The 22,870-nt window shown below is 49.6% G+C and overlaps 1 protein-coding gene across 13 annotated transcripts in view, besides 5 other annotated features; it reads right to left on the bottom strand.

Annotated features, from left to right (window-relative positions):
* Positions 1–22,870, bottom strand: part of MYO18B (myosin XVIIIB) — a 321,660-nt gene that overhangs the window by 297,271 nt on the left and 1,519 nt on the right. For 6 of the 13 annotated variants that reach the window (XM_011530461.3, XM_011530458.3, XM_017029014.2 and 3 more), the window contains exons 2-4: positions 5,446–5,593; positions 3,188–3,346; positions 1,580–1,705 (exon numbers count right to left, since the gene is read on the bottom strand). In XM_011530461.3, the coding sequence (XP_011528763.1) occupies positions 1,580–1,705; positions 3,188–3,346; positions 5,446–5,484 (324 nt within the window). In that variant the 5' untranslated portion in view covers positions 5,485–5,593. The other 7 variants (NM_001318245.2, NM_032608.7, XM_017029015.2 and 4 more) reach the window with 5 other exon arrangements.
* Positions 6,401–6,695: an enhancer, noted in NCBI's record as "tiled region #2919; HepG2 Activating DNase matched - State 8:EnhW". NCBI's record gives its function as "activates a minimal TATA promoter and a strong SV40 promoter by Sharpr-MPRA in HepG2 cells {active_cell/tissue: HepG2}" and the evidence as "EXISTENCE:reporter gene assay evidence [ECO:0000049][PMID:27701403]".
* Positions 11,218–11,727: an enhancer, noted in NCBI's record as "H3K4me1 hESC enhancer chr22:26150817-26151326 (GRCh37/hg19 assembly coordinates)". NCBI's record gives its function as "activates a minimal SCP1, AML or CMV promoter by ChIP-STARR-seq in primed H9 embryonic stem cells {active_cell/tissue: H9 hESC(primed)}" and the evidence as "EXISTENCE:reporter gene assay evidence [ECO:0000049][PMID:30033119]".
* Positions 11,728–12,239: an enhancer, noted in NCBI's record as "H3K4me1 hESC enhancer chr22:26150305-26150816 (GRCh37/hg19 assembly coordinates)". NCBI's record gives its function as "activates a minimal SCP1, AML or CMV promoter by ChIP-STARR-seq in naive H9 embryonic stem cells {active_cell/tissue: H9 hESC(naive)}" and the evidence as "EXISTENCE:reporter gene assay evidence [ECO:0000049][PMID:30033119]".
* Positions 16,418–16,467: an enhancer, noted in NCBI's record as "active region_18789". NCBI's record gives its function as "activates an Ori minimal core promoter by ATAC-STARR-seq in GM12878 lymphoblastoid cells {active_cell/tissue: GM12878}" and the evidence as "EXISTENCE:reporter gene assay evidence [ECO:0000049][PMID:35858748]".
* Positions 18,821–19,115: an enhancer, noted in NCBI's record as "tiled region #14204; K562 Activating non-DNase unmatched - State 8:EnhW". NCBI's record gives its function as "activates a minimal TATA promoter and a strong SV40 promoter by Sharpr-MPRA in K562 cells {active_cell/tissue: K562}" and the evidence as "EXISTENCE:reporter gene assay evidence [ECO:0000049][PMID:27701403]".

Genomic DNA, 22,870 nt, shown 5'->3' with positions numbered 1-22,870 from the left:
TCTATCTCCTCTCTACAAATCTTTGCCTGAAGACCTCAATCAGAAATTGTTCCAAGCTTGCACAAAGTTCCAGAGCACTATGCTAGTACACCAGTCACAGCGTGGCCACCTTCTGCGTTCCATTCTGGCTTTTGTGTCTCTCTCCTGTTTTAGGTGACCAATGCCACAGCAAAGTCTCTGTTTTCATCTTTGTAATAATCACAATAATAATAGTATCTATCATTTATATCTTCCTTGCAATGAGCCCTATATCACCATCATGCAATCTCCTATTTAATCCTCCGAAGGAACAACTGGAGTAGATTCTGAACTTCTCCCCATTCTACAAGCAAAGAACTAGATGTAAAGATGTAAGGTGACCCAGCTACAAAGGTGAAATGTAAAGCCAGTTCTCTCTGACTCCAAAGCCAGTGCCTTGAACTGCGGCATATTAGATGCCCTTCCTTTTCTCTCTAGGGCTCTCTGGAATCTCCTGGGGCACTTTTAAAAACCTTAACTCCTTGGCCTTATTCCCAGAGACTCTGATTGAGTCTGCCTGGGTTGTGACTGCCCGGGTGATTACGAGGTTCAGCTGGTGCTCAGCATCATGGCTCTGGGGCCCAAGGCCGAGTAGCTTCTCCTGACCTTCTGGGGGAAGGCAGGACATAGCCTTGGAAGGGGGATTGACTGCACTTGGCAAATCTCACCACTGTCTACACCATATTGAAAAGTAAGTCAGTGCCTTATTTTTAACCAACCACCACAGAGGAGACAGTAACATGGGGTGGGCCAAACAAGATAACCAGTGCCAGCCTCCTCCCACCCCACCCTCATATGCCCATGGATTCTCTTCCTTTGGACCTTCAAAGTCATCAAAGCCTTTGGTCCCCCCACCCTGCCACCCTTTTTAGCATATAGAGGGAAACAGCACCTCTAGAATAACTGGGGCCAATAGAAACTAATAGCACATTTTTACAGATGAGTAAACTGAGGCCAAGAAAGGGGAAGGGGTTTAGCCAGGACCACAAAAAGCGGCAGGGCCAGAGCTAGAATCTAGGTCTCCTTGACATTCAATACGGGTTACTTTCCACTCCAGTGTTATTCCAGCCTCTCCCTGTTCCTCACTGACTGGGTAGCCCTAGGAGAACCAGGTCACTTCCCCAAGCCTTGTTTTCCATTCCTGCAAAATGGGATGGATTCTAATGGCTTCTTGCAAGGATTAGATGAGGATCAAATGAAACAGTTGTGCTGGGACAAGGCAAGAGAGTACGGAGTTATTTATTGATTGGGACAAGAAAATTAAATTGGCAGGAACCAGCCAGAGCTTGCTGCCTTGTGGAAACATGTCCTGAGGCTCCCTTGCTCCAGCCCCAGGAATATCTTGGCCCATGGTCCAGCCACCTGCTGTGGGCTGAGGCTCAGAGCCATCCTGCATCTTGGCTCTGAGTCTCCATCCAGGCACAGCAGTGACAGTTTGTCCCCATCCATGGCTTAACTCTGCCTCTTTACTTGCTCACAGTGACACCAGCGCTGCTGGTGTCAATCTCATGGAACCCTTTCCCCCAGGTCTCTGTGGCACCACCCCGGCCACCTCACTCACCAGACTGGTCCTTTTCCAGGCATCTTGTGAGAGCAGAGAACACACAGGCTCTCCCCCTCGCTCTGCCTCTATCTGGTCTGATGACCTTGGGAAAATCACTTGACCTCTTTTGGCCTCAGTCTCCACCTGTGATAAATGGGTAGAATCCCATCCACCTGCATTGCTGCACGGGGTATTAAATGAGCCCATGAGCAGCAAAGCAGCATTGTCTGGAGATAAACAGCACACAGTAACATTTCATCATAACCTAACAACAGCCTGCCGGGGTCAACTTTGGCCCCCACTTATGCCTTAGGTCAGGCAAGAGTGGGAACAGAGCCTGTCCTCCCTGTCAACCTCCCCAACAAAGACTTGGCCGAGGTATTTCAGCAGCTGCTACTGTTCAGTTGCTGGAAGACCTCTCTAATGCATCAAAGTCGTTCATCAGACAGGTGCAGGCACATGTGGGACTAGCCGGGCAAACCAAAGCTGAAGGGGAGGGGAAGGAAGAGTCAGGATGGGTCACTGGGCTCAAGCCAGCACCAGGCCCTGAGGCCACCAGACCTCTCAGCCCAAGCATTGCAGCATTCACCTTGTCTGAAGGGGGCGCTGGAGACACAAAGAGATGCCCTTTCTACCTAACACAGGGATACTCCCAAGATGCATTGCATTCCAAGCCTGCCTCCCTCATGGTCCACCTTGTCATCCTGCCCAGGTTCCATGGCTAAAGAGGACAAGAGAGAAATAGCACTGGCCACCACCAGCGACAAGTTTACAAATCCTTAAAGTGTAAGGGCCACATTGCATTCAACTATTGCTTCAATGCAGCAGCGCTATTCAGAATAGCTAAGGATTTTTAGTGGACATCAACCAATCAGGACGGACACCAGCTGGAGGAAGGTACTGAGGTTCCTACCTGTGCCAAGCATTAACCCTGTAATTATTGGATTGTAGCCATTCCAAGGGACTCAGGAGAGGGACCTGGGTAAACATGGCAGCTGAGGGCACTTGGGGGGCCAAGGGTTACAACCATTTACCACCTGGTATGAAGGATTCAATATTTTAACAATCAATGCAACTACACCAGTTAGTACCAACTCAATAGCTTTCTGCTTAAAGTGAACCAACTATACATCTTAGCCAGTATCTAGGTTTCCTTTTCTATAAAAATAGTGTTCAAGTAATCCCCACCAACCATGCATCAATGAATATCATTTATTCATTCACTAAACAAACTGTTAAGCACTCACTACTGACCAAGTACTATGAGGGCTGCTTAAGATACAGAATTGAATGAGAGAAATCATTGTTGCTCTTAAGGAATTTCTAGTCAAATAAGTCATATAATCAAATAAGTACTATGCCAACCAACCACAGTTAAGACAGGCATAGAAGGTGCAGCAGGATTCAGAGGAAGGCAGGCAATGGAAGAACTTTCCAGAGATGTGCTGTTTGAGCTGGGTTTTGAAGGGTACATAAGAGCTCAATAGATCAAGTTGAATAAAGGACATTCCTCAAAACCAGGACAGCAGGAGCAAAGGCAGGATGACAAATGACTCAGAGGAAGCTCACAAGACAGAATGATGGGTATGGAAACGCATACGGTCCTCCTTCTTAGGAACCACTTACCTCTCGTTCTGGAGAGGCGACAGCTAACTGCTTCCTCTGTCTCGCTTCCTTGGCCTCTTTTTCAGTCCCCCGGACCAGTTGCTTAATGAAGCCCCCTGGGATGACAGAGAAAAGAGGAGGGGGCGAGGATGGTGGAGGGCTCTTGTCCTCTTCCCGAATCTGTTTTGCAGAAGCAAGGAAAGAGAGAGCTCAGTGAGTCAACCAGCAGGAGCAAGCTGCCCTTCAAAGTTTGTGATGGAGCCTGGGAGGGGGCGGAGGAGACATACATGACCAAGCCCATGTATGAGAAGCCACAGCCAAGCAGGTGAGGCCCAGCACGACTCAGGGGGGTCCCTGAGACAGCGCATGAAAATGGAACACAGGGGCAGCCAGGAATTATGCGGGTCAATGTGATTTCTGCCTGGATCCACTCTCCTTGTGATATGAACAGTCACTTGTATGGTCAAGGCTGCTGGTTCCCTTCCTTGCCATGGGACATGCCCATTTCTAGAAGGACCTGCTCTGAAAGGAGGTTTCCCAGTTTCCAGAAGGGGATGGATCACAGGGAATCATCCACGCTCTCCTGGTCCCCCTCAGCTTATAGTTAATATAATAGATGAACCAATTAATCACTTACTATGCACCAGGAACATGGTAAGATAGGGAAGGGCTTACAGCCATGACTTATATAAGGACCTGACCTTGTGGCTCCAACCCATTCAACTGACACAGTGCTGTGGCTTCCTGACAGTCCTTAAACCAGGACTTGGTCAGCCAGGAGCTCTCTAACACTGGGTCCTAGAACAGGCAGGTTGGACCCTGATATTTTACCCCCCAGAAATACGGCCTAGGCCAGCACTGGCTGGACTTGTGGTGCAGCTGAGACCCCGCTGTTGGCTACAGCGACTTGGAGGCTGAGGCATGAGACCGGCTGTGGCCGACTGAAGTGTGTCTTTAGCCTGCATCAGTGACAGCCCATGAGAAGAAAAAAAAGTCACCAGTGCTTTATACGGAAGAGCTCCATACTGGTCTAAAATAGCCTCCTTATCAAGAACCTCTGTGCATGTATGGTAAAGACTTGCTGTGTGTAGCCCAACTGATAAGGGAGGAATTCAAAGGAGATAGCAAAGGCCAGGAGACAAGGCCATGGGATAAAGCTGGTGAATGCAGACCTCTGCCCAGGGACAGAGAAGCAGGGGCAGCACTGCAGGGCCCACATCAACATCATTTCCCTTCTTTCCTTCCTGATGTGGGACTGAAAGACACTTCATAAGTGAGAGACAGTCTTTTTTTTTTTTTTCTTTTTTGAGACGGAGTCTCGCACTGTCGCTCGGGCTGGAGTGCAATGGCGCGATCTTGGCTCACTGCAACCTCTGTCTCCTGCCTCAGCCTCCTGAGTAGCTGGGATGACAGGCACACACCACCACACCCAGTTAATTTTTTGTATTTTTAGTAGAGACGTGGTTTCACTATGTTGGCCAGACTGGTCTCGAACTCCTGACCTCATGATTCACCTGCTTCGGCCTCCCAAAGTACTGGGATTACAGGCGTGAGCCACCACGCCTGGCCAAGAGACAGTCTTAAGGCACCCTCTGCAGCTTCCAATGCCATTTTAGCTGCTACCCCCAGATCAGGCTGGGAGGGGCAGGGGCAGGGGCAGGCAGGAGGCAGCCAGAAAGAAGTTTCTCACCCTCCCACCTCCAACTCATCAAATCACATGCACAAGGTGGAGTGAGGGTGCAGGAAGTAACAGGCATCTTAGAAAGAGGCAGCCCTTCGTAGCGTATCATGAAAAATACTAAAGGGGAGAAAGGAATATCTGGGGAGGAGAGCCCGTTTCCGGTTCTCTATGGTGCCCGAAGGCAGGGACCACAGAAACCCACCCCTGTGGCATAAACCTGGCAGCTGACAGCCCTGCCTCTGTCCCCCATGTGCCCCTCCTCCCACCCAAACTCCAGTGCTCATCAGAGCTGCCATGAGGATCCAGCTGGGACAGCTGGTCTACCACCCCCCACCACCACCACCACCACCTGTGGAACAGGAAACAACCAGGCAGCCCTCGGGGGGGCGTCAAGGGTATGGCCATCAGTGTCCAGCTGGGTTGGAAAGGCCAAGGCTAACCGAGCTGGCTGGGAGAAGGTTGAAGGTGGGATTGCACATGCTACTAGGAGGGCTGGATGTCAGACTCCCCACTCAAGGTGGGAAAGGTCGGACTTGTCTCCCGAGGGTCGAGTCAGTCCCTGCAGATGGCTGCAGCCCCAGCCATGAGTGTCACTTTCCTTCTGCTCCCACAGGGCGAGGCGTGATGAGATGGCCATGCTGAGGCAGTGCCAGGGCCGTGAGATGATGAGATGAGATGGAGCTTCCTGCCAGACAGCACGGAATGAGGCTTTACAGACACACGCAGCACATGAGATGGACACAGAACTGACACACAGGGACACAGTGGGGAGAGAAGAGAGAGACAGGTTAGCTCATGGGCACAGCCCTACTCCCACCCCCACCAACGCCATAAACCAAGACCACATGGGGGAATGGGCACAGTCAGGTACAGACACTGTCAGCTACCTCTGCAAGGAGGATGGTCAGGCAGGACCCTGCAGGCCGCGGAGTGAACAGTGCCCTGAAATATTCTTCCTCTTGGCCCCACACGTTTATACAACCAGAAAAATATATCATAAGGTACAGCTCAGTGGCTCTTACAGAAAGAACACACCAATATAACTAGCACCCTGATCAAGATTTAAAAGTTATAATTTTATTTATAAGAAGTTCAAGAACAGGCAAATCTAATCTATGGTAAAGGAAGTCAGAGGAGCCATTCGCTTTTGGTTGGGAAGAAGCATGAGGGAACCTTCTGGTGCTTAGGAAAAGCCTTGTAGCTTGATCAAAAAGTAAACAGAGACCTAGAACTTCCCTCATGCTCCCTTCTGGTCAATATTTCCTGAAGGGAAACCACTATTATTTGTTTTTGTGTTTTTTTTTTTTTTTTTTTTTTTGAGATGGAGTCTTGCTCTGATGCCCAGGCTGGAATGCAGTAGTGTAATCTCAGCTCACTGCAACCTCCACCTCCCCAGTTCCAGCAATTCTGCCTCAGCCACCCGAGTAGCTGGGATTACAGGTGTATGCCACCACACCCGGCTAATTTTTTATATTTTGGGTAGAGAAGGGTTTTCATCATATTGGCCAGGCTGGACTCGAACTCCTGACCTCATGATCCGCCTGCTTCAGCCTCCCAAAGTGCTGGAATTACAGGCATGAGCCACCACGCCCAGCCAGGAAACCACTATTCTGACTTCTAACACCATGAATCATGGGTTTTCTTTGTGAAGGGAATACTTGGTTCCATAGTTGGAAGATGAGGTAAGGGCAGGAAACTGTAGCTCTCAATCTGTCCCACGCTTGGAGAAATCATTTGTCATCATATTGAGAGCCTTAGAAAATTTTGATAACTTTTGACCCAGAAAGCCCTTTTCTGGGAAACAAGTTTGAGGAAGTAATCCTAAACCAGAAAATTTCATCACCATGTTGACTGTAGCATTGAAAGAGCAGACATGAAGTCCGATAACTAGAGAATGTCAAATAAATTAGAGTACCTCCAATTCGCAGTAACAGTATGAAACCATCAAAAAAAGAGTGTTTAGCAAGCATTGTTTTTACTTGCCATATCTCCATACAATTACTATATTTCCTTGTTTATTTACACCTGTTACTTCCCAGCCAAAGTTGTAACTTTATTTTTATTATACTTTAAGTTCTGGGATATATGTGTAGAACATGCAGGTTTGTTACATAGGTATACACGTGCCATGGTGGTTTGCTGCACCCATCAACCCATCATCTACATTAGGTATTTCTCCTAATGCTCTCCCTCCCCTAGTCCCCCACCCCTCGACAGGCCCCAGTGTGTGATGTTCCCCTCCCTGTGTCCATGTGTTCTCATTGTTCAACTCCTATTTGAGTGAGAACGTGCAGTGTTTGGTTTTGTTTCTGTGTTAGTTTACTGAGAATGATGGTTTCCAGCTTCATCCATGTCCCTGCAAAGGACATGAACTCATTCTCTCTTACGGCTGCATAGTATTACATGTGCCACATTTTCTTTATCTAGTCTATCACTGATGGACATTGGGGTTCGTTCCAAGTCTTTGCTATTGTGAATAGTGCCACAATAAACATACATGTGTATATGTCTTTATAGTAGTATGATTTATAATCCTTTGGGTATTTGTTTTTAAAGTTATATTGGGGTATTATTTGTATGTCATAACATTCAGCTAAGTTTCAACTTGATTTTTAATAAATTTACAGAGCTGTGCAATTGTCACCACAATCTAACTTTAGAAATTCTCATCACCCCAGCCAGGCGCGGTGGCTCACGCCTGTAATCCCAGTACTTTGGGAGGCCAAGGCAGGCAGATCACAAAGTCAGGATATCGAGACCATCCTGGCTAACAAGGTGAAACTCCGTCTCTACTAAAAATACAAAAAATTAGCCGGGCATGGTGGCGGGTGCCTATAGTCCCAGCTACTCAGGAGGCTGAGGCAGAATGGTGTGAACCTGGGAGGAGGAGTTTGCAGTGAGCAGAAATCATGCCACTGCACTCCAGTCTGGGCAACAGAGTGAGACTCTGTCTCCAAAAAAAAAAAAAATTCTCATCACCCCCAAAAAAACTCTTCTTTTCATGCCCATTTACTGTCACTAGTTGTTCCCTCTCTCAGCCCCAGGCAACCACAAATCTACTCTCTATCCCTATAAATTTGCCCTTTTTGGACATTCGCTATAACGGAATCATAAAGTATTTGGTCATTTACCCCTGGCCGCTTTCACTTTGCATGTTTTTGACATTCATCCACGCTCCTGTGTGCGTCGGCCCCTCATTACTTTGTTGCTCAATTGCATTCCTGTTGCATGGATAGACATGTTTTTGCTTTTTTTTTTTCTTCTTAATCCATGCAACAGGTGATGAGCAGCTAGACTGTTTCCACTTTAGGGGCACTACGAATAATGTCGCTACAAAGTCACATAGGTTCTTCTGAGTGAAACTGCTGGGTAGTATAATAATTTTATGTTTAATTCAAAAAAAAAAAAAAAACTTTCCTGCCAGTTGTGGTGGCTCACATCTGTAATCCCAACCTTTTGGGAGGCCGAGGTGCGTGGATCCCGAGGTCAGGAGTTCGAGACCAGGCTGGCCAACATGGGGAAACCCTGTCTCTACTAAAAATACAAATATTAGCCTGGTGTGGTGGCAGGCACCTGTAATCCCAGCTATTCGGGATGCTGATGTGGGAGAATTGCTTGAATCCGGGAGGCGGAGGTTGCAGTAAGCCAAGATGGTGCCACTGCACTCCAGCCTAGGCAATGGAGTGAGACTTGGTCTCAAAAACAAACAAACGAACAAACAAAACAACAAAGAAACTTTCCAACTGTTTTCCAAAGTGACTATATCTTTTTCCACATCCCCACCCCTGCAGTGTGTGAGAGTTGTTTGGGAAACATTTGCAGAATCATTGAAAGGTGCTTGTCTCAGCTTGTAAAGTAAGATTGAGTACAATGTTGCACACACCAGAGCTGTCCAAAATGAACAAAACACTTCCTGTAGAAAATCAAGTGGGAGGAAATATACCAAGGTCTTAGTAGAAGCGGTCTTGAGTGGAGGAAGGTGTCTCTTCTGCCTTTGGCTTTTCTCACTTCTAGCTCTGGTTGGCCGGGCCCTCTGAGCAATGTGCTTCACTGACCCCTCCTGAGAGACACCCACCCTCCATCCCAGCTGCCAGAGTAACCACTGACCAGCAGTTTTATTTTTTTGTTGGCTTTTTTTTTTTTGATATGCAGTCTTGCTCTGTTGCCCAGGCTGGAGTATAATGGCACGGTCTCGGCTCACTGCAACCTCCACCTCCTGAGTTCAAGCAATTCTCCTGCCTCAGCCTCCTGAGTAGCTGGGACTACAGGCACGTGCCACCACGCCCGCTAATTTTTTGTAGAGATGGGGTTTCGTCATGTTGGCCAGGCTAGTCTCGAACTCCTGACCTTGTGATCCGACCCTCGGCTCCCAAAGTGCTGGGATAACAGGCGTGAGCCACTGCACCTGGCCTGACCAGGACTTCAAGGCCTTGTAAGCCTGGAAGTAGCTGCCCTTCAGTGACTTAACTAGAAGGTGGCTATTATAAATAAAACTGCTATGAATTTTTATGCAAAAGTATTGAATGGACATGCATTTTCATTCCCTGCCTGATACCTAGAGTAGAATAGTATGCCATATAAGAGGCGTATGTAAAGCTTTTGTAAGTACTAGTGTTCTATAGCACTATATGACTATAGTTAACAATAATATTATATATTTTCTTTTCTTTTGAGACAGTCCTGCTCTGTTGCCCAAGTCGGAGAGCAGTGGCACGATCTCGGCTCACTGCAACCTCCATCTCCTGGGTTCAAGTGATTCTCCTGTCTCAGCCTCCTGAGTAGCTGGGATTACAGGCACATGCCACCATGCCTGGCTAATTTTTGTATTTTCAGTAGAGACGGGGTTTTGCCATATTGACCAGGCTGGTCTCAAACTCCTGGCCTAAAGTGATCCACCTGCCTCGGCCTCCCAAAGTGCTGGGATTACAGGCGTGAGCCACTGCATCCAGCCAACAATATATAGTTTCAAATAGAAGGACATGGAATGTTCCCAAAACAGAGAAATGGTACATTTTTGAGATGAAAAGATGAAGGCTGCTTAGGCAGTTTCACATCCTGGAAGCTGGTGAGCCCAAGAGTTGGCTGGTCCCTGCTGCTGTGCTGAAGCCCCCACTATTCATCTTCTGAGAGTCCATTGTGAACATCTCTTTCCAAGTCTGCATTCAGCAAAGCCTAATTCATAACTTAACGGCAGCCATGGGAGTGTTTACACCACGGAAATTGGCAAATGCTACAAATCAGGTCTTTTATTCTGGGAGCTGGCCATTCCACGCCTATCAGCATGTCACTAGCTGAGACCTCAGCATGCCTACGCAGCCCTGCAGGAGTGAAATCCCAGGATCCAAAAATCCAAGGAGCATTTCGGCTCTAATGAGGTCACATGCCCAATGGGAGGCCACAAATACACGTCCAAGTGCCAACAGCGAAGTCTTTACCTTAAGAAAAAGTTTCCCACAGTGTGGGCTTTTGCATTAGTCTGCTTTGTGTTGCTATAAAGGAATATCTAGGGCTGAGTAAGTTATAAAGAAAAAAGTTTGGCCAGGCACAGTGCCTCATGCCTGTAATCCCAGCACTTTGGGAGGCTGAGGCAGGCGGATCACGAGGTCAGATCAAGACCATCCTGGCTAACACGGTGAAACCCCATCTCTACTAAAAATACAAAAAATTAGCTAGGCGTGGTGGCAGGCCCCTGTAGTCCCAGCTACTGGGGAGGCTGAGGCAAAAGTATGGCGTGAACCCAGGAGGCAGAGCTTGCAGTGAGCTGACATCGTGCCACTGCACTCCAGCCTGGGCAACGGGGGTGGGGGGAAAGAAAAAAAAAAGAAAGAAAGAAAAAAGTTCAACTGGCTCACAGCTCTGCAGGCTGTACAAGAAGCACTGCACCTGCACCTGCATCTGCTGAGGCCTCAGGGAGCTTCCAATAACCGCAGGAGAAGGGGAGCTGGCATCACGTGATGAGAGAGGGAGCGAGAGACAGAGAGAGGGAGGAGGGAAGTACCAGACTGGTTTTGAACAAGCAGCTGTCCCGTGAACAAATAGAGCAAGAACTCGCTGATTAACCCAGGGTGGGCACCAAGACATTCAGGAGGCATCTGCCCCCATGACCCAAACACCTCCCACTAGGTCCCACCTCCAACACTGCGGATGACACGTCAACATGAGATTTGGAGGGAACAGACATTCAAATTGTATCAGATCTCCAGCTTACAAAGGCACAGGAAAGTGGCTGGGCGCGGTGGCTCACGCCTGTAACTCCAACACTTTGGGAGGCCGAGGCAGGCGGATCACCTGAGGTCAGGAGTTCAAGACCAGACTGACCAACATGGAGAAAGCTCGTCTCTACTAAAAATACAAAATTAGATGGGCGTGCCAGCGCATGCCTGTAATCTCAGCTACTGGAGAGGCTGAGGCAGGAGAATCGCTTGAACCTGGGAGGCGGAGGTTGCGGTGAGCCGAGATCGAGCCATTGCACTCCAGCCTGGGTAACAAGAGTGAAACTCTGTCTCAAAAAAAAAATAAAATAAAATTTAATTTAAAAAGACACAAGAAGCTGGGAGGGTGGACAAAAGGGGAGAGGGGATGGGGGAAAGAAGAGAAGGAAAGACACCCTCCCCTCCCGTCGTCCCCTTGGGAGACACTGGCGAGGCCCCCGAGTGACTCACAGACTCCATGCCTAAGGAGCAAAGCCCGAATTATAAATAGGCCTGACGTCAGGTGGCTGCCTTGGCCGCCACTACCCGCCTTCCTCTCCAGCCCAGGCCTGGCCACGTCAGCAGCCGCTTCCCAAGAATCACCCTCAGCTTCGGGCTCCAGGGGGAATCCTGGCTGTCGTAGGGGCTGTCCTTAGCCCTGAGGCTGCCAGCCTTCCCAGAGGGCCTTAGCAGAAAGGGACAATGCGAGGGAACCCCATGTGGGGCCTCACCCCTCATGTCCTGCCCCCTCAGAGGTCCTGCGCCAGCTCCACTGACCCAGGGCCAGGAGCCAATCCCGCCGGGGAGGTTTTGTCAAGACTTAATTTAAGCAAGTGTTCTTATCGCCATACTCCGGTCCGGGCCCAAAACATACACCTGCCTCGTCAGCTGCTGTTTTAAGCCCATGAGGTGGCCATAGACATTTGGAATTCACGGTATAAAATCGCGAGTCTCCCCTTAAAGGGGAGAGAGGCTGGGGAGAGAAAACGCAACCCCAAAGCCAGGAGATGACTTGAAACTGTTTTCCGCGTACACATACTGGATCTGAGTAGTGGTTCCATGGGACCCTCAAGGCTTTCCCCCACTACCCCACAATGTCCAGTTGTAACATAGCACCTGTCTCATAGAATACATTCCCAAGTCTTTGTAGCGCCCCCGCCATAACCACCTGTCCTAGCGACCCTCCCTTTCTATCCTCCCTGTCAATTACACTGACCTCCAGGATACGCCCTTCCAAGCACATTCTCACCTCAAGAACTTTGCACATGCTGTTCTCTCTGCCTCAAATGCTTTTCCTGCTGCATGGCTCACATCGTCACCTAAAGTCTTCTCAATGTGCCTGTGCTCACTCCCTATTTAAATTGCAGCTTAACTCCCAATCCCACCCTACTCCTCCTCCAGAGCAGCCCCTATGAAGGCCAGAATTCTCAACGCGTTCTCTTCACTTACTGTAGTCCTTAGTGCCTAGCACATACTTAGCTTTCAATCAACATTTGTTAGTTCAGGCACAGCAGATCACACCTGAAACACCAGCACTTCCAGAAGCCAAGACAGGAGCATCACTTAAAAGCCAATAGTTCCAAAAGAGCCTGGGCAACATAAAGACCCTGTGTCTGGAATTGGCGGGTTCTTGGTCTCGCTAACTTCAAGAATAAAGCCGTGGACCCTCGCAGTGAGTGTTAACAGTTCTTAAAGACGGTATATCCAGAGTTTGTTCCTTCTGACTTTCGGACGGGTCTGGAGTTTCTTCCTTCTCATGGGTTCGCGGTCTCACTGACTTCAGGAGTAAAGCTGCAGGCCTTCGCGGTGAATGTTACAGCTCTTAAAGGCACCGCGTCTGGAGTTGGTCGTTCCTCCTGATGGGTTCGTGGTCTCGCCTGCTGCAGGAGTGAAGCTACAGACTTTTGCGGTGAGTGTTACAGCTCACACACGCAGCGTAGACCCAACAATCGACCAGCAGCAAGAATTATTGCAAAGAGCGAAAACACAACCACCCCACAACGCGGAAGGAGACCCGGGCGGGTTACCAGTGCTGGTGCTGGCAGCCTGCTTTCATTCCCTTATCTGACCCCACCCACATCCTGCCGATTGGACCATTTTACAGAGAGCTGATTGGTCCGTTTTACAAAGAGCTGACTGGTCCGTTTTACAGAGAGCTGACTGGTCTGTTTTGACAGGGTGCTGATTGGTGCGTTTACAAATCCTTAGCTAGACACAGAGTGCCAGACTGCTGATTGGTGCGTTTACAGTCCTTTAGCTAGACATGAAAGTTCTCCAATCCAGCAACCCCCGCCCCCCCCACACCCGCCCCTGCCGACCGGGAGGCCAGCTGGGGTCGCCTTGTGGATCTTGCGCTGGGGCCACGGGCTGAGCTTCCCGCACTGATCAGCGCTTGGGCAGTCCATGGGACGCGGTGCCGTGGAGGCTCTGGCCGCGCGCGATCCTAACCAGTGGTGGGGGGCTCGGGTATGGCAGGCTGCAGGTCCTGAGCCCTGCCCCGCGGGGAGGCGGCTGAGGCACGGTGAGAATTCGAGCGCAGCGCGGGCGGGCCAGCAGTGCTGGGGGACCCAGCGCACCCTCCGCAGCTGCTGGCCTGGGTGCTAAGCGCCTCACTGTCCGGGGCTAGCGGCGCGAGCCGGCCGCTCCGAGTACGGAGCCTCCGACCACCCGGAACTCGCACTGGCCCCGGTTCCCGCCTGCGTCCCTCCCTCCACACCTCCCGGCAAGCAGAGGGAGCCGGCTCCGGCCTCGGCCAGCCTAGAGAGGGGCTCCTCAAGCATGGCCAGAGTGGACGCCGAGGCGGAGGAGGCACCGAGAGCGAGCAAGGGCTGCTAGCATGTTGTCACCTCTCAACCCCATGTCTAAAAAAATTTTTTTTTAATTAGCCAGGTGTAGTGGCAGCTGCATAGCTGTGGCTTGCAGCTATGCAGGAGGCTGAGGCAGAAGGATCACTTGAGCCCAGGAGTTCAAGGCTACAGTGAGCTGTGATCACGCCACTGCTCTCCAGTCCAAGTGGCAGTAATAGACTCTGTCTCTTAAAAAATTAATTAAAGGCCGGGCGCGGTGGCTCACGCCTGTAATCCCAGCACTTTGTGAGGCCGAGGCGGGCGGATCACGAGGTCAGGAGATCGAGACCATCCCGGCTAAAACGGTGAAACCCCGTCTCTACTAAAAATACAAAAAATTAGCCGGGCGTAGTGGCGGGCGCCTGTAGTCCCAGCTACTTGGGAGGCTGAGGCAGGAGAATGGCGTGAACCCGGGAGGCGGAGCTTGCAGTGAGCCGAGATCCCGCCACTGCACTCCAGCCTGGGCGACAGAGCGAGACTCCGTCTCAAAAAAAAAAAAAAAAATTAATTAAAATAAAAGTTAAATATTTGTCAAATGAATAAGTAGGTGAATGAATGAACAGTTAGAAATGAGCCTGAGAAGGGACAGAGCAGCAAGTCTGTGGGCAGAGATTTCTGATGTCCCCCTGTGCTGTCTGCATCCACACATAATGGGAAAGCATGTTTATCATGGCCTGAGTTCACATCCTTTGACACCCCAGGGAGCTCTCTGAGCCTCAGTTTTCCTAGCCGTGCAGTGAGAGGACACCCACATAACAAGCATGTGCTGGATCCCTGGTAACCTCTCTCAATCAGATTTTCACTTTCCCTTTACTCCACGGTTAAAACCGGACTGAAGACCCCAGCCCAGCACCCAGCACAAGACAATTCACAGAACATTTAGGGAGAACCAACCGTGTGCCAAGCACCGATATAGATCCTTACTCCTAAACTCCCCCATGACCCTTATATTCCTACTGGACCTGGAATTTCATTATATTAAAATCCATGATCACATTTCATTCCCACAATAGGACCACATGGTTGGCATCACTCCCACAGAACAGACAGACTCAGAGAGGTCGAGACACTTGTCTGAGGTCCCCCAGCAAGAAAGCCAAGGTGAGACTTACCCCAAGGTGTGCCTGACTCCTCCCACACATGCTCAGCTTCCCATCAAAGCTCCACATCAGTGATGATAAGAGAGGACCAATCTGTGGGTGCCAGGCCAAGCCTCAGACGTGCCCTATGTCGTGGTGGCAAGCTGTGGAAGCCTAGGAAGCTGGCTCAAGTAGGTACATTCAGGGGTAGGGCAGAGTGTGCAGGGGGCACTGGTATTTACTTAGCATCTGTTTGGTGTTAGTCACAGCACAGGGCGTGTGGTAGTTGGGATCAGAAAGGTTAACAAATTGGATCAAGGTCACACAGGAGGAGGTAAAGATAACCTAAGTGCCTAAATCCCTGTATTTTTTCTGTTCCACTCTGAGATTTCTGTCCTTCCTCCCTAGCAGGAGGGGACACGACAAAATCAGGGCTATGGATAATGGTACCACTAGGATTTCTGCATTACTCAATACTGAGGACTTAAGTAGATCACATCATTTACTCTTTCCATCCGAAGAGGTGGATTCTCTGAGTAACTCTTATCTCAGGACACTCAGGCAGAGGGAGGGGATGTGTCTTGCACCCAGCCAGGAGGTGGTGGGGCTGATTCGTGGACCAGATGGTCTGACTTTAGAGGCTGAGCTCACAGCCACTTTAGCACACTGGCCTCCCAGCATGGACTGCCACGTGTGCCTGGCACACAGCAGCTTCTCAATAAAAGCTGTTTCCTTCCCCTTCCTGGCTCTGACTCCGCCATCCTTCACGTGCCTGTGGGGACACCTTCCTCCATGACACCATGCCTGAGGGTGCCAGCCAATGTCACCCTGCAGGATTCTATGACAGCCTCCTGCAGCCTCCACCCAAACACCCGCTGTCACCTGCCCTCCCCTCCACTGGCCACAAGGCTTAGGTCACTATTTGGTTCTTTATTAATTGGATCTTCATTTAGAATTCTGTCTTGCCCATAGTCTGGTTGGTGAGTGTAAGCATGTAATTCCTCAGCTGTTCCACAAGGTTCCTGGAGGCAGGCAGAGGGGTTGGCCAGTGAGAACACCAGCATGGAGCTTAGATGCTCAGCAGGAATGATCTGACTGCCTGACACCTGGTTTCTGTGATGGTCATATCGGAGGCCAGACAGCGAGGGAAAAAAAGGATGCTGGAGAACTGAAGACACCATCTTCAGATTCCCCCTCCATCTCTTCTACTTTGCTCTATGTCTGGCTGCTGACCCTGTGGACTCTTCCAATGGACTCCCTCACTTTCCATCTTCCAGGTGGGTTAAGCTAATGGGAATCATCCACTAGTAGGAGATCAGAGGGCATCTGTGTCTTCACTCACTCTCCCTCCTGGATGACCATGGTTGCCTTCCTCCCTCTCCCAAAGGCGCCTTCAGGCTGTTCTCTCCACTCTCTCCCCTCTCCTGTTGCGGCAGCAGCTCCCTCCTCTGACAGTTCAGGCCCAGAAAAGTAACAGCTTCACTGTTGCTATCCTCAAAGTGCTGCAGCATCCCTTAAAGGAGGCGGCAGCAAATATTTTCTGTAAAGCGCCAGATAGGAAATCTTCTGAGCTTTGAGGCCTGTAGGTTCTCTGTTACAATGACTCAGCTCCACCCTTGCGGCTCACAAGCAGCCATACTTAGTACGTAAATGAATGGGCATGGCTGTTTCAATTTGACTTTATTTTTAAAACCAGGCAGAGAGTTGGATCTGGCCGTGGGCTGTCATTTGCTGACTGTTAACCTTAATGCTACCATTGCATCCTGCCCCTACTTTGGTAAACAGTTTTTTTCCTAAACTCCTCAAATGGCCCCACTGGAGTGAGCCCTCTGCACCCTACTATAGCCCTGACTTTACAGCTGCCTCACCCCAAGAAGGAAAAGAACGTCCCAGGAGAGGATTGAGTAATGGGGAACAAGACGACCGCCCTGACATCCACGTGGCATGCCCTCTCCAAGGGCCACCTTCAGGCCACACTGCTGTGTGCCCCAGGAGCTGACCACTAGGCATTGTGCTCCCTACCCCCAGGCTCTCTTGCTCTCTGGCTTCCCCTCGTTTGGCCAATGGAAGGCTCTGGGAGGACCTGCATATGAGAGGAACTAGTGGTCAAGGTATTTAGTTCCCACTCTACCCACCTCTCTCTGTATCAGGCCCTAATTTTAGAAATGCTGTGTTTCTCCATCTACAACCACAACACCCTTCAAGTGGTCCCTGTCCACCAACTCCAGCTATCTCTGTGTTCCTAAATCACCCCTCCTCTCCCTTGTCCCATACAGCCCCAAGGCTAGTAAGGTATTCCCACCACTGCTTATCTCTGAGGGCTTCAACATGCTTTGTTGGTTCCCCTAACCCTGCACACATTTCTTGGGAGAGTTCTTTCATTAAAAAGGCTCTCCAGGATACCAGTTGAGGGTGCTGTTTTCTAGTGGGCCCTTGACTGATACAGTCAGTAGGGAAGTAGGTTTTAATTCACATATCAATCCTGATAGACGGATAGTGGCTGCCTCGTGGGTTACATGGGAAGGACTGTGAGCTTTTATCTGGGCTGAGTGGAAGAAGGGTGCTCTGATTGTTTATTAATGTCTGCCCTGGGCGTGGAAAGAGGGAATGGGGCATAAGTGCTATCTATTGCCATCCACAGGCTAAATGGACAAAAGAGACTCATGATTCCATACAAAGTCCAGCCTACTTCACCCAAGCCTGGAGTTTGATGGCCAAAGAGCCAGGCAATAATGAAAAGGGACTTTGCCCAGCACACAGATCCTCTCCCTAATCAGGGCAAGGGTGGCTCACAGCCAGCTATAGCCAGGGATTCAGACCGTGCTCACAACAATACACATGAAGGTGAGAAAGGGAGAGGGATGAGTGAGAAGCAAGGGCAGGAAGGTTGATGGAGGGAAAATGAAATGTTGAAGAGGGAGGGAGGAAGGAAGAGAAAAGCAGATGGGGTGGTGAGATGAAGAAGAATGGCGGGCAGGGAGCAGCAGGTGTGAAGGCTGCCAGAAATGCCCCTCAGCATCAGAACCTGGGGCCTTTACACATGGAGAAACCCCAGAGACCCAGCTCACTTCACAAGGAATTTCCAGGATAGACAGTCAATGAGTTCCCTCTTGGTCATGTCCATTGACAGGGAGGTCACTAATACATAGGACATTTGGAGTCTGCTCTAATTGTGTTTCTTCCTTGGAACCAGAGCTCCGAAAGGCCCTCAGAAGCCACAAAACCTACTTCTCCTATATCCTGGCATCCATAGACCAGGGAAGGGAAGTGACTTTCTCGAGGTCCTACAGCGACAATAGCAGAACTAAGGTCCTCATGTCCCAATGAGTAAAGTCTGATGCTTTTTCTTCCTTCTCAGAGAGCTACCTCCCCAGGACAGTCACACAGTGGCCTCAGTTCCACTCTCTGGAACAACAGACAACGAGGTTAACCCCTTTTCCAACTGAAATGATGGAATCCGCCCCCAGTTTTCTCATCTGTCACCTTCAGCCTTTTCTCAGGGGACATGGCTCCTAGTTTCTTCAGAACAATGCTCAGTCTCCTGGGACTTCTCTAACCTGCCTTCTGCCGCAGAAGTGGACATTTCACTCTGCAAAGGGTTGATGAGGGTACACACAGCAGGCTTCCTGCATTTCCATGGGTCCACAGCAGCCCTGGAAGTCTTAGATCTAAGAGTGGGCCTCACTATGCCTGTTGTCAAACCTCTCAGGTCACCAACTCCTCTGTCTGTCAAATGGGGATGCAGTTTTTCTCACCCACTTCACGGAGCGGTTTGAGTACTAGATGCTCCGTAGGCCTGTGAGCCATTTCTGACGTTATTACCATGTCCTTGGCAGCAGCTATGTCCCCGGTTGACTCAGATTCAGTCCCAGGCAGATTAAAATCTTCAAATGCTTTGCATATCAGTGGCTGACCAGCCAGTAGCCTCACCCCACCCTGCCAGCCTCCATTGCTAAATCATGCAGTGGGTGTTTCTATGAGAAATTAGAAAAAAAAAATCTCAGCTCCTCCAGCCCATTGGCTCTCCCCTCTCTGTATCATGGTTGCTCCACTGACCTAGGCTGGCCACACACTCCTGGCCACCCGGTGAGTCATCAGGCCACTCCTACAGGCTGATGAGATGCTGGACCTCACAGATGGGCCTCGTGGCTGAGTGCCAGGATGGCCAATAATGTTTCTTTCACCTGCCAGCACCAACTGATCTGTAGTTGGGGGCTGCCCAGAGTGTTGTATTGAGAAACATTCTGAGCTGTGCCTGGGCTGAACAAGACAGCATGCTGTGATTGACTAGCAATGTCTGGCACGGGTATAGGAATGGCTAGGGATGGAACCTGTGCCAAGTATTTGCCATTTCCAACCTAGTGTTTCCCGGCCACCATGAAGCAAGAAGCTGGTTAGACTTTTGGTAACAGGTTCCCCTGACTGATTTTAGGGATTGAGTGCTCCATCAAAGGGCTAATTTTCTTTTTTTATTTTCTTTCTTTCTTTTTTTGAAGCGGAGTCTCACTCTGTTGCCCAGGCTGGAGTACAGTGGTGCCATCTCGGCTCACTGCAAGGTCCACCTCCTGGGTTCACGCCATTCTCCTGCCTCAGCCTCCCGAGTAGCTGGGACTACAGGTGTCCATCACCACGCCTGGCTAATTTTTTTGCATTTTTAGTAGAGACGGGGTTTCACCGTGTTAGCCAGGATGGTCTCGATCTCCTGACCTCGTGATCCGCCTGCCTTGGCCTCCCAAAGTGCTGGGATTACAGGCATGAGCCACTGCGCCCAGCCTCAAAGGGCTAATTTTCTATCCACTACTGTGTTGCTACCTAGAGCTGTACTAATACAGTAGCCACTAGCCACAGGTGGCTTGTTAAATTTAGATGAATTCTAACTAAATTAAATCAAAAATTTAGCGTCTCAGTTGTATGAGCCACGTGGTTCATGGCTACCATGTTGGACAGCACAGATACAGAGGATTCCTATCATCGCAGAAAGTTGTGTGGGACAGAACTCACCAAGTGGTGATTGTGCCTGCCAATGGACATTTTTGGAAACATCCTAGAGACATTTTGGGTTGTCACAACTGGAGAGGAGGTGCTACCTGCATCTACTGGGTCAAGGACAGGGATGCTGCTACACATTTTTCCAAGCACATGACAGGTCCACAACAAAGAGATATGCAACCCAAATGTCAATAGTGTCTACGCTGACACTGGTCTAGAACCCTGGTCTGGAAGAATCATGACAAATGGGAAGGAGCATCAAGAGAAGAAGAGGGCAATATCATCTTTGCTTTGAATAATAACTAGGTGTAACAGGGAAAGAACTGAAAAAATGAGTCATCCACTGTTGGCAGAAAAACAAGCAGAAAAGCAAGTCACTAAACCTCTCTGATGCTGAGTTTCCTCTTCTATAAAACTGGGACTATATCACTACCTGCCTTGATCATCAGTGGATTAAATGAGGTAATGAATGTGAAAAAGCTTTCTTATCTGTCTCTGTGAAACAATGCCACACAATTTATTATCTCAACGGATGTTGTTTATTACATTATGCTGAACAGTCCAGTCTCTGGCAGGAAGGTATTCAGTCCTGCTTTTATTTCACCCTGGATAACCTGGGGTCACTCCAGGCTCCAAATCTCACTTCCTGGCCTGTAAAATGGGGCTAATAACTCACGCCCAAGCTCACTGGAATATTAAGCGTGAATGAGACATTTAATCCCATCAAGCAACCATCTCTACCTCAACGCAACAGTTAATCCAGCTGCCCTCCATGAAATTGAAACTCAAACCCCAGCTGGTACCCAAGAAACAGCTGAAAATGCATTCCATCTTTTATGGGCAGAGAAAAATTCACTTGAAACCCTGAACCTTGAAATTCTTGCTACCCTACACATGAGCACTGGCCAAGGGGTAAACTCACTTTGCCGATTCTTGAGGATCTTTCCTCTGTTGCCAGAAACTACAATTCTTAAAAGTAAATCAGCATCAGGGAGAAACACAGTAAAAAAGAAGCAGATAGGGAAAATTATGAAACTGGATGAGTCAGGCTGTGGGAGAGGAGAGATTCATATGAAGCTAATGGTGTCTCTGGATCCTTCAGACTGAATGAGATGTGTGTGCGTGTGTGTGTGTGTGTGTGTGTGTGTGTGTCAGAGAGAGAGAAATCTACCTTGATGTCCAAGGCCCTTGTTTGTGTCATAAAGTTCATTTTCTGCCAGGCGCAGTGGTTCCACGCCTGTAATCCCAACACTTTGGGAGGCTGAGGTGGGTGGATCACTTGAGCTCCCAAGTTTGAGACCAGACTGGGCAACATGGTGAAACCCCATCTCTACAAAAAGTATAAAAATTAGCCGGGCGTGGTGGTGCACTCCTGTAGTCCCAGCTACTCAGGAGGTTGAGATGGGAGGATGGCTTAAACCTCGGAGGCAGAGGTTGCAGTGAGCCGAGATTGGGCCACTGCACACCAGCCTGGGTGATAGAGCCAGCCCTTGTTTCAAAATAAAAATAAAATAAGACGCAATTTATTTTTGCTGCCCCCATTCAAATGAGAGCTGAGGTTTATCCTTTCCTTAAGATCTTGGTGCGGGGGGATAATATATATGGTGGATTTGACTATTATTTCTAACATAAGGGGCTCGTGGTTGCTCCCTGAACACCAGCCGTGACAGCAGGGGCTGATCTTGGCCCAATGCTCTTGCTGCAGGGCTGTGTGTCCTTGAACAAGTGGCTTTCCCTCTCTGTGCCTCAGCTGCACCATCTCTCAACAGGAGGGGTTGGATTTGGCAGCACTCTGGAGGGGAGGGGGATCCTCCCTGGTCTCAAACCCACCTCCTCCATTTTTCAGAAAATTTAATTTCATTTTGTTTATTTTTATTTTTATTTTTATTTTTGAGACGGAGTCTCTCTCTGTCCCCAGGCTGGAGTGCAATGGCGTGATCTCGGCTCACTGCAAGCTCCACCTCCCAGGTTCATGCCATTCTCCTGCCTCAGCCTCCCAAGTAGCTGGGACTACAGGCACCCACCACCACGCCCGGCTAATTTTTTTTTGTGTTTTTAGTAGAGACGGGGTTTCACCGTGTTAGCCAGGATGGTCTCGATCTCCTGACCTCGTGATCTGCCCACCTCGGCCTCCCAAAGTGCTGGGATTAAAGGCGTGAGCCCCCGCGCCCGGCCACTTTGTTTAAATATTAAAGATATGCCACACACCACAGCAGCTGACCATGTGCTTCAAATGGGCCATTCAGACAGTTGTTTGTATCTAGCAGGACCCAGTGAAGGGCCATCTCCCCATAGCCTTGTAGGCTCACAGCCCCAGGTCCCTATCTTTTGGCAGCTGGAAGTGGTTCTGCTCAGTTTGGGGGCCCTCCATTCCCACCTCAAAATGCCATAGAAAGTCTTGATCTTACCCCTGGAGGAACACCTGCCCAATAAAATCTTTGCGATAGTTAGACCCTAATAAAGTGCTGTGCACGTTTTCCATGTTTGTGAAACATGGAAATTCCATGAGTTTTGACAGGGCAGGTGCTGAGCAACAGCCTTCTGTGGTTTTGTTAGCTCAAGTGAAAGGAAAAGCTCTTCTCCAATTTGGGTGGGCACCAGAACCACCTGTGAGGTTTAAAATCTGTGGATTTCTGGGCCCCTTCCCCCAAGACTGTTCAAAAGGTCTAGGATGAACCCAGGAATCTGCATTTTAAAACAGCCCCCCGCCTCCTGCCCCACATGAGTCTGATGGGTAGGTCGTCAACGACCGTCACTTCAAGAAAAACCTTCCTGGATGCTGAATCCTAGGAAAGATCCCAGAGGTGGTCTAGCCCAACCCCCTCAGGTTTTAGAAGGAGAAACTAAGTTCCGACTGGGGAGAGTACTCATCCAAGGTTACAGAGCCCACACCAGGATATTCAAGGTGACCAGGCCTG

The sequence above is a fragment of the Homo sapiens genome, chromosome 22 (genome assembly GCF_000001405.40).
Source record: "Homo sapiens chromosome 22, GRCh38.p14 Primary Assembly".
Classification (NCBI taxonomy): Eukaryota; Metazoa; Chordata; class Mammalia; order Primates; family Hominidae; genus Homo; species Homo sapiens.
Note: the sequence above shows the minus strand (reverse complement) of the source record. Positions and strands in the feature narration are given on the sequence as shown.